The sequence below is a fragment of the Homo sapiens genome, chromosome 17 (genome assembly GCF_000001405.40).
Source record: "Homo sapiens chromosome 17, GRCh38.p14 Primary Assembly".
Lineage (NCBI taxonomy): Eukaryota > Metazoa > Chordata > Mammalia > Primates > Hominidae > Homo > Homo sapiens.
In genome coordinates, this window is record NC_000017.11 from 62,277,509 (window position 1) to 62,289,577 (window position 12,069).

General features: G+C 37.5%; 1 pseudogene; it reads right to left on the reverse strand.

Moving 5' to 3' along the window:
* On the reverse strand, nt 5,189-11,281 carry USP32P4 (ubiquitin specific peptidase 32 pseudogene 4; annotated as a pseudogene).

Here is a 12,069-nt window from a genome sequence, read left to right on the forward strand (position 1 = left end):
GGGGAAACTGTCCCCAAATCCAATCCCCTCCCACCAGATTCCTCCCTTGACACAGGAGGATTACAATCCCAGATGAGTTTTGGGTGGGGACACAGAGCCAAACATGTGAGGGTCTCAGTCTATGTTGCAGCTCCCCTGGGGCTGAGGCCTCCTCCCAGCCGCCCCTTCCCCCAGGGCTTCCCACCTTCCCTGCCCTGAATTCTCTTTTTTTTTTTGAGCTTAGTGATAGACAAAGTTAACATAGAAATCTTGGCCTGCCCACCAGGTGTGGTGGCTCACACCTGTAAACCACTGCACTCCAGCCTGGGCAACAAGAGTGAAACTCCATTGCAAAAAAAAAAAAAGTACATTTCAAATAATTATCACAAAGCAACTAGCTTTCCATTATCACTGAGTTTAAGAAACAGAATATAGCGAGCACTCAAAAGCCTCCCATTTGCTTCCTCCAAATCACAAATTCTCCCTTCTTCACAAAGGTAACTATTATTCTAAATGTTACAGTAATCACTTTCTTGCTTTTCTTTACAGTTTTATATCCTATGCACAAGTAAATAAACACTAGATTTCATTTTCCCTGTTTTAAAAGTTTTTATATTTATAAATAGAATTACTTAATTCATTTTTGTTTGTTTTTTGTTTTTTGAAACAGGGTCTAGCTCTGTCATCCAGGCTGGAGCGTAGTGGTGTGATCTCAGCTCACTGCAACCTCCACCTTCTGGGCTTGAGAGATTCTCTTGCCTCAGCCTCCCGAGTAGCTGGGACTACAGGTGTGTGGCACCACGCTGGCTAATTTCTGTATTTTCTGTAGAGATGGGGTTTCACCATGTTGCCCAGGCTGGTCTTAAACTGCTGGGCTCAAGCAATCGGCCCACCTCAGCCTCCCAAAATGCTGAGATTACAGGTGTGAGCCACCGTGCCTAGCCTAATTCTTTTGTGTCTGGCTTCTTTCCATCAACATTAGGTTTACGAGATTCATTTATACTCGATATAACTACAAATCCATTCATTTTCATTCCTGTATAATGTTCCATTATCTTAATATATCTCAACTTCCCAATCCCTTCTACAACTAATGGACATGTAATGTTTTCATTTTGGGGCTACTATAGATAATGGTGCTACAAATATTCTTGTACATATCTCCTAGTACACATATCTCTTGGGTGGATACCTACAGGTAGAACTGCTTATCCTTAACTAGAAAATTGTATTCCAAAGTAGTTGTATTAATTTATTTTCTCATCAGCATGGTATGAGAGTTCCTGTTGCTCTACTTAGCAACCCTGTCAGTCTGTTTAATTTTACCTGTTCAGGTGAGTGCACTGATATCCTAATATTGTTTTAATTTACATTTCACTGATTACTAGTGTCGTTAATCACTTTTTTTTTTTTTTGAGACGGAGTCTCGCTCTGTTGCCCAGGCTGGAAATGCAATGGCATAATCTCGGCCCACTGCAACCTCTGCCTCTGGGATTCAAGTGATTCTCCTGCCTCAGCCTCCCGAGTAGCTGGGACTACATGTGCCCACCATCACGCCCAGTTAATTTTTGTATTTTTAGTAGAGACGGAGTTTCACCATATTGGCCAGGCTGGTCTTGAACTCCTGACCTTGTGATCCATCCGTCTCGGCCTCTCAAAGTGCTGGGATTATAGGCGTGAGCCACCGCACCCAGCCAAGTTATCAATTTTAATGAAGTCCAATTTAATCTTTTCTTTTATATGAGTAGCCTCAGGAATGTATTTACCAGTATTATCTTCCAAGGGCTGTTTCATTGTTTTGCTTTCAAATTTAGCTCTATAGAACACCTGGAATTGTGGTGAAAGGTAGGTGCCAAGTTTCATATGGATATCTAATTGTCCCAGCACCACTTGCTGAGAAAACTATCTTTCTCTCACCTCTCTGCAATGTTATCTTTGTTATAAATCAGGTGTTCATACATTTGTGAACTGGTTTCTGGGCTCTCTCTTCTATCCCAATGGTCTACTTGTCTTTTCTTGTACCAATATGACATTATTTTAAATATCATATCTTTGTGAAATAAATCTTGATATCTGGATGATATCCAATCTTGATGATATCCTCATATCTTATTCTTCTTCAAGAGTATCTTGGTTATTCCTGGTGCTTTGTATTTCCACATATGAGAATCAGCTTATCAAATCACACACCACACACAAACACACACACACACACACACACACACACACACACACACACACATGCAGACTTTGCATTTTTATTGGGATTGTGCATTAAGTCATCTGTAAATTAGTTTGTAGAGAACCGATATCTTAAAATATTGAGTCTTCTAATCCATGAACATGGTTTATTCCTTCCAATATTTAAGTCTTCTTTAATTTCTATCAATATTTTATTTTCTATATAGATGTCTTATGTGTCATTTTTAAAGTTTATTCCTAGGTACTTAATTTTTTCTCAGCATTTAATTTTTTTGATACTAAGATAAATAATATCTGTAGTTGAGTTGAATGGTGGCCTCTAAAACAGTATATCCATATATCCATGTTCTAACCCCTGGAACCAGTAAATGTGACCTAATTTGGTAAAAGGATGTTTGTAGATGTAATTAAGTTGAGGATGTCAAGATGAGATCATCCTGGATTATCTGGGTGGGCCCTAAATTCAATAAGTATCCTTATCAGAGAAAGACAGAGAGAAAGAGAAGGCTATATGAAGAGGCAGGGATTGCAGTTATGCAGTCACAAGCCAAAGAATGCCTGGAGCCACCAGAGGTTAGAAGAGACAAGAAAGCATTCTCTCCTAGAACCTTTGGAGGAAGCCCCCACCCTACAGAAACCTTAGTTTCAGACTTCTGGCCTCCAGAAGGTGAAAGAATAAATTTCTGGGCCGGGTGCAGTGGCTCATACCTGTAAACCCAGCACTTTGGGAGGCCGAGGCAGGCAGATCACGAGGTCAGATCAAGACCATCCTGGCCAACATGGTGAAACCCCATCTCTACTAAAAATACAAAAATTAGCCAGGCATGGCGGCGTGCACCTGTAGTATCAGCTACTTGGGAGGCTGAGGCAGGAGAATTGCTTGAACCCAGGAGGCGGAGGCTGCAGTGAGTGGAGATCGCGCCACTGCACTCCAGCCTGGGCGACAGACCGAGACCGTCAAAAAAAAAAAAAAAAAAAAAAAGAATATATTTCTGTTGTTTAAAGCCACCAAATTTATGGTAATTTGTTATAACAGTCCTAGGAAACCAATACAGTACCTTTTTTACAATTTCATTTTCTCTTGTTGCTGCTATACAATCAATTTACTTGATCTAGAAGCCCTGCTTTCCTTTATTTTATTTATTTATTTATTTAAGACGGAGTTTTGCTCGTCGCCCAGGCTGGAGTGCAATGGCACGATCTTGCCTCATGGCAACCTCCGCCTCCCAGGTTCAAGTGATTCTCCTGCCTCAGCCTCCTGAGTAGCTAGGACTACCGGCGTGTGCCACCATGCCTGGCTGATTGTTGTATTTTTAATAGAGACGGGGTTTCACCATCTTGGCCAGGCTGGTCTCGAACTTCTGACCTCATGATCCACCCGCCTCGGCCTCCCAAAGTGCTGGGATTACAGGCGTGAGCCACTGTGCCCGGCCTTTCCTTTACTTTATAAAATTAGGACACTAAAGTCCAAAGAGCTCAATCAGCTATCTAGTGGCAGAATTAGAACTAAAACATAGGTTGCTAAATTCCTAGTTCAGTGCCCTTTCTACTCTACCAAGTTGCCACTATACCCGAAGACTACCTCTTTAACAATTATCCACTGACCACAGTTTTCAAACCTTCCTTTTTCTTTTTTACCAAAGAGTCAACCTTTAATGCAATAGTTATATATTAGACTATCAAGAGAGGAATTACGCACAACTTGATTTTCCTCAAGAACATTCTTGTATCCTCTAAGAAAAAAAACAAAACAAAACAAAAAAACCAACCCCAAAACAAAAAACTTTTCCGAAGCCATCCGCATTTATGTGGCAGTGAAGATATACATACCTACACAAACACACAGGAAACATAAATTTTGTGTGTGTTGGTTTTTGTTTTTTTCTAATTTTTTTAGAGACAAGGTCTCACTTATTGCCCAGGTTGGAGTGGAGTGGTTATTTACAGGTGTGAGCATCATAGCATATTATAGCTTCAAAATCCTGTCCTCAAGGGATCTTCCTAAACATGCCTGGCTTAGGAGATACTTTTTTTTTTTTTTTTTTGAGACAAAGTCTCACTTTATCACCCAGGCTGGAGTGCTGTGGCGCAATCTTCACTCACTGCAACCTCTGCCTCCTGGGTTCAAGCAATTCTCCTGCCTCAGCATCTCAAGTAGCTGAAACTGCAGGTGCATGCCACCATGCCCAGCTAATTTTTTTATTTTTAGTAGAGATGGGGTTTCATCACGTTGGCCAGGCTGTTCTCAAACTCCTGACTTCAGGTGATCCCCCTGCTTCAGCCTCCCAAAGTGCTGGGAGTACAGGTGTGAGCCACCGCACCTGACCATTTTCTTTCTTTTTTTTCTTTTTCTTTTCTTTTTGAGACAGGGTCTTGCCCAGGCTGGAATGCATGGAGCAAGCAAGCATGGCTCACTGCAGCTTTGACCTCCTAGTCTCAAGTGATCCTCCTGCCTCAGCCTCCAGAGTAGTTGAGACTATAGGCACACACCATCATGGCTGCTTAGTTAAAAAAAAAAAAAAGTCTTTTTTTTTTTTTGGAATAGACGAGGTCTCACTATGTTGCCCAGGCTAGCCTTGAACTCCTGAGCTAAGGTGATCCTCCTGCTTCAGCCTCCCAAAGTGTTGGGATTACAGGTGTGAGCCACTGCACCCGGCCAGGAGACACAAATTTTTAAAGAAAGTAGTACTCAGATGCACTGTCTATCCTGTTGCCTCTTAATATACGGATAAGGAATGTCATTTCATACATTAGCCACCATGAGTAATACTAAATCCTGGCTCTGATCACTTATATTAGCATATATAATACATTGAAAATGCATTCACAGCAACAGATTTTGAGGACAGGGTAAAAAAGTAAAAAAATAAAATTTGTAAAATTATTAAATTTTAAAAAATTAAAGAAAAGAAGAGAAGAAAATGCATTCAATGATGTTGCAAAGACAGCAAATGACTATTTCACAAATGACACTAGCAAGACTGGCAGTGAGTTGCCTAACATTTAACTAACCATTTTTCGGTGGACTGCAATGATGTAACCTGTAAAGGGGCTGTCAGGAAGAGATGGCATGTGACCATTAACCATTCCATTTGTGAAGTTCTTCTCAGTTCCACATGGCACAACAGTGTTTGGCATTCCATTGGGGATGAATATTGGTCGGGGTAGGTCCCCATTGGTAGTAAGGATGAACATTCCATTTGTAGATGGTGAAGAGGAGCAATCTACAAATTCAAAGATAAGTACAGCATCATAAGCTTGTGGTATTTTCATCTTTGCTCTTTTCTCAAGTATCCTGAGGACCAGAGACAGTGTAGTCTCTTAACACAGGGCAGGGAGAAATCACAGTATAAATAATTATAGATTTATTGGAAGATTTTAATTTTCCAGTTTTACTTCCCTAACTCACACTTTTGACCAAATGAAAAGGAAAGAGTAACTGCTGGAAACTATTAAGCAGAATTTTTGCAGAAACCTGTATCGGCACCATGTTGTAGCACACAAACAGTTCTACCACTTGTTTTCTTTTCCTTCTCTTCGCCTTTGAAGACACTGTTTAATACAGTAACCTCTACCCAGATGTTGCATTTAAAATTTAAATTAGGCTGGATGAGGCAGCTCACATTTGTAATCCTAGCACTTTGGGAGGCTGAGGTAGCAGATCCCTTGAACCCAGGAGCTAGTGACCAGCCTAGGCAACATGGTGAAAACCCATCTCTACAAAAGATACACCATAGCTGGGCATGGTGGTACACGTTTGTAGTCCCAGCTACTTGGGAAGCTGAGGTGGGAGGATTGCTTCAGCCCATAAGGCAGAGGCTGCAGTGAGCCAAGATGATGCCACTGCACTCCAGGCTGGGTGACAGAGTGAGACCGTTTCTCAAAATAAATAAATTAAATTAAATAAAAATTAAAAATGCATTATTCTCACTCACACTAACCACATCTCGAGCGCTTAACAGTCCACGTGACTGGTGGATACTGTATTGGATGGCAAAGATCACAGAAGTTTCCACCACTGCAGAATTCTATTGGACAGTGATGCTCTAAACTAAAACTAAAATTAGAACATCCACCAACTCACCGTCAGGACTATCTACCTACTACACATCAATGAGGGGAGCCTCATAAAGCCCTTTATAGTTGGGGAATTAGCCTAATTAACCTAATTGTAAGTAATATAAAGAATAGACAAAGCATACTAGTGGCTAAAAGGACTCAGTGAGTGACCACATTAAATTACATATAATATTGGATTTCTTTCTAGCTATATCTATTGTTTATATTTTCTGGTAGTATGTTCCTCTCATACTAGCTGTTGCCATGTTAGTATTAGATACAAGTTCAAAGAGATCTGAATTCCAAGGGTATATTAGCTAACGACTACCTATCTAACTGAAGTCACTTGGGTTCTCTAAATTTTAGGTTTCTCGTCGAAAAAATATGGAATAATCAGTAAGGTTTCCCTTGGGTTCCAAAATTCTTCCGCTATAATATCCTCAGCATGAACAAATATAAAAAAGATGACAACTCTTAGACAAATATTTAAAGGAGCAATCATGAGAAGGAGTTCTAGTTCTATCTTACCTGTCTGTGTTGGACTAGAAGCTGAAATTGGAGACGCAGGGACAGGAATTTCAAATGCACACAAAAATCCACTCACTGAGAGTCGTACTTTTTGGTTGTCCTGAGGAAAGTTCTACAGAAACAGAAGCAAGATGAGAAGGGGGAGATGTTTCAGATAAAATGGAAAAGTTCTCTCTCTAACATATTTCAAAAGAATGTCTTAGGCGCTTTCATTCTTAAAACCAACGAGATGATTGAATAATTTTTCAACTACATAAAGGATGAATGCTTGATAAAAATAACAGAAAACTAACCTCAATTTTCGAACTATTATCTCTTTTCACAGGAAGAAGTGTGTTATATATGACTGACTTCAGTTTTGTCCGTTTCAGGGATCTAAATTCCAACCCTCAGAGACTCCATTTTTGCATTTCATATTAAGAAACTGTCAATGAGGTGAGAGTGTGTTCAGAAATCCCAAAGATGAATATAAATAATACCAGTTGCAGGAGCTTAATTTAGAGTAGGCAATATATTTATTAGATTATTTGTTTCCCCAGCTGGTATGTAGAAAGACATGATTGGTGTCAATTTGTCTTTACTCTTAATTTCTTAGTGTGTTAAAAGACCAAGTATATATATTCATAAATACTAAAAACACACATTCATAAATACATAAAATACTTTAACCTAGGAAGAATTCTAGTAACAGCGGTAATACAGAAGAGTTGTCAAGGGTTAATAGCAGCAGTCTTTGGTAACAGCAGCAGTCTTTGGTGGAAACCTATACTATAGTGACACAGCTAGAACACTCCATATAGGCAGCCTTACATATTTCCCTTCTTCAAAAATACCACCATCAGTATTATCCCTTTATTCTGGTAGAAAACTCTTAGGTTTCTGGGTTGGAAAACTTGGCGTTTTTTGTTGTTGTTGTTGTTCAGTTTTCGTTATGTTTTAGTATCTCTCTTGGTCACAGAACCTAACAATTGATCATAATAATTGAGAAAAATGTCATCTTTGAAGGATAGAATCAAAAGTTTCTTAGAGTAGTTAATATTACCTTTATGTTGGAACCATGTACTTCTGCTAGAAGGATTTGTTCTGAATTAAGTCCACAGAGATCACTCAGCTGTTTTTTTAAACCTGTGTACTTTTCATCCATATTCAGTCTTAGTCCATACCGTACAGGGGTAGTACCATCTAACTTAATCACTAGTAAAGAGAAAAGATCTTTTATCGGTAAAATGCAGGTTTCATTGAAAGTCTTAAATGCTGTGTACAGATATATCTGACCTGTAAATATAATAGCAAATATTTCAGCCTAGAATTTTTATTTTATGTGTAAACACTAAAACAGATGGTACTTAGGGATAATATTAAGTGAAATCAGTATTTTTTTGGTGTTCATCTGACATAAAAGTATCAGTGGCTTTGCAGGATTTTAAAGAGAGTTGCTGGCATATTTGAAACCAAAAAAACATGCCCCAATCTACATCTTTCAAACCTCAAGTCATGCCTAAAATTAGGTTGCTCGATTATAATATGCTGACTACCGGTCTTTATTTGTAAGCAAATAACTACGCTTACAAACTCAGGCTATTTAAATAAAGTAAATTTAATGGAGTCAAGTAATTTTTCAGAACTTTCTGACCTACCTGTTATTTCTAAGTGCATATAACTGTCCATTGGTAGTGGCAAAGACAAAAAATTGAAAGGGTCAAATCGGACACTTATATGCCCACATGTCTTGCATTTTACTTGAGATCTTAGCTGCCCATGGAACAAATCCACAACAATTGATCTATTTCTTCTTAGATGGTTGTCTCAGGCCTAGCAATAAAAAAGATGAGAATTTTCTCTCAAAATCCAAAAGAGAGGCATTTCTATATAAATTCAAAGAAACTAGTTAAATATATTGGATTTAAATGTAAAGAATATAATCCTTACTCTTCATTTAACATAAAATATTAAATTGAGATGGAAAATCCTATTTTTCATTTGTTCTTATTAAGGTAACAATGGTAAATATTAAAGTTATTTGTCCATTAACAAGTATAAAGCATGCCTATAGGTCACTGTATCCATTACTTTAGCAATTATGGGGACTCTTTAAATTCCACTGGATAATTATTCCTACATCCAGTCCCATAAAGTTTACAATATGAAATGGCAACAGTTTTCTATTTTCATTAAACGTATTTTTGTTTTGGCATTACTGCATAAGAATTAAGCACAGAAATAGAAATTCATTCATTTTTGCAGTAAAGTTCTGATCTCAGAATAGTTGAGTTTGCATTTAAGTTGTGCTACATGTATTTGTGGCCAGAACATTTTGTCTATTGCTTACATTAGAAACTCAAAACTGACAAACCTCTGCAGCTACTTCCCAGTCTGGTCGCCCATCACTGTCCTTCAGTTCCACATATGGCTTTTCATGGACTCGATTAAGATCTTCATGAAGACCATCCAAGAGAAAAGCCAGAAGTTCTTGGGCGTCTTGTTGCTGAAACCCGTTAAACCTGGGAGCATATTTTGCTATGGTCCACTATAAATATAAGAGAAGTCACAGTCATTATTTCCTACCCATAAAATTTGGAATGAACATGTCCTATAATCCAATCAGAGCCATTGTAAGAAAATAAATAGTATAGTACTTAGTCTGCCTCTATTTCAACAAATATATTTTGGATAATCATGAAATCTTTTGAATCTTAATGTCAAATGACCGCCCCCTCCAAAAAAGAGAAGTATTTTGGCCAATACTGTGCAATACTGTGTCCTCAGTTCAGTATCATGTAAGCAAACTGTTCTTCAGGCACACAGATGTTATTTAAGACAGAAATATTAAAACAGCATTTGCTCACATTGAAAGACATCCTGTTCTATAACGTTTTACATTTTTATATGCATATAAAATATGTATATTTTATAGGTACATAGTATATACATAACATATGCATAAAATAATGTGTATATAATAATACATAACATGTATAAAATAATATGTGTATATAGTATTTTATATAATATAATGTTGTCTTCAACAATTACATTTTCTGGTCTTGTTGCATCCTAACTTTTATTAACTGCATTATATTATAGAATTATTTTGAGGATATAAATTAATTAGAATAGTGCCTGGCAAGAGGTAAGTAGTCAAATGTGTAGCTGTTATAGTTAATAATTTGTAATATAAAAAGCTTTTGCTTTGTATTTAAATAAAAATAATGAATAATCCTAACTTCACTAAAATCTACTACATCTAATATTAATATAAAACTTATATTCATTAGTTTCATTCATTCATCCTTCTACTTTTTTTTTTCTTTTTGGAGACAGAGTCTCACTCTGTTGCCCAGGCTGGAGTACAGTGGTGCGATCTTGGCTCATTGCAAACACCACCTCCCAGGTTCAAGCATTTCTCATGCCTCAGCCTCCCAAGTAGCTGGGATTACAAGCATGCACCACTATGCCCGGCTAATTTTTTTTAGTAGAGACAGGGTTTCGCCATGTTGTCCAGGCTGGTCTTGAACTCCTGGCCTCAAGTGATCCACCCACCTCAGCCTCCCAAAGTGCTGAGATTACAGGCGTGAGCCCCTGCGCCCAGCCTACTTCTTTGTATTCTACAGATAGAACTATCTTAGTTATGTTGAAAATGGATTGGATTGGATGTAATTAATAAGACTCTGAGGTCCACCTTGCAGTTAGAATACTGCTAATAGTGGAGTATTACCAAAAAAGGTTTACTCTTCATATAAGATGTTTGACAAATTAGTAAAATGAATGACATCCCGAGTGTACCTTTGGTCTTTTAGAGTGTACCTTTGGTCTTTATCCTACCCACTACATATACAGTAGTATTTTGCATATATTTAAACAAGCAAAAGAATTTGACCTTTTGTTTATACCAAGTGAAGGATCCAAAAACATTTATTAAGCTAAAAGGCTAAACACAAAAAACAAGTAGAGAAAAATGATTAAACAACTATTAGGAATTAAATACTTTTATATTATTTTAACCTGCTTACCCGAAGCTTTAATGGGGCAACATTCTTCTGAGTTCCACTCCAAAGTTCCTGCACTAAATCACCATAGCATTTAGCCATATGCCCCTTCATACCAATGGGATTTGTCCTAGAAGTCTGAGAGGAAAATTTGTTGCCAAAGATTCTCATAAATCACAATCATGTGGGTGCAAAAATGCCTAGCATCTCACATCAAAATATCTTTTCTTTTTGAAACAAGAGATGTATTCCTTGGCCTATTTCATATTAAATAGGGCAAATAAGATAAAATCTTTCTCCCACAGGGTAAAAAAAGAGGAAATTTAGGTGATATTGGGTTTATATCAAAGTCACAGGTTAAGAGGCCACTGACTCCAGAAAGATTACCTGTTGAGTTCATAAAGATGTCTCCCTGAGATAAAATACTGTGTCAGTGGCTGTGTGTTACTAACACACTGGATGCTTGAGTTCATGAAGCATGTGTTTCCCAGGTTGCTTAGACCTGTGGCTCCCTTTTCTGTGAGAACTGGTATGAGAACCAAAGCTTAGCTGTAGTAATATGCCATGGCACAAACAGTTACTTATATTCAATGAAAAGGTTTTTTATAACTCTCATAATCAGCTAAATGGTGCTAATAATTCTCTAGCAGGTCTTTGAAATGCTAGAGAAGGCTTTTCATGGAGTGTCTGGCAACAGTGATGATCCATGCTCATTTGTAACCCAGAAGCAGCAATTATTCTTTTTAATTGCTATGATTTTTCAAAATAATTCAAACAATTCTTCTTCTAGTATGTCTTTTAAAACATATAAATTATTTAATTGCAGAGTTAGAAAGAAATTTAGAAAATAATTTGATGGTGGGTTTGCCAACATCAAATGCTGCTTCAGGAAAAAAGAAAAAGAAGAAGGCCCTAATTACTTTTGAACTAGAAAACCAAAAGTTGTTAGCACTTTAATAGTTGAGAGAAGAAAAAAAAAAGAATACATTTAAAATAATCTCTTTAAAAAATAATACTGCAGACTTACCCTTGTGTCTATCTATTTTACTACTATTTGATATAAAAGACATCTCCTCAGGCCAACTCATATCTTTGTTGCGAACTGGAAGGACAGATACGAATGTGTTAATTTCTTATCTATCTAATTTACACCCATTCGATTGCTTTTTTTTTTTTTAAAGACATCTTATTCCTAAATCAGAAGTTTTAAAATCTAGTTAATTTTAGTATATGCACCGCTTAACGACGAGGTTATATTCTGAGAAATGCATCATTAGGTGATTTTGTCTTTGTGTGAACATCACAGAGTGTACCT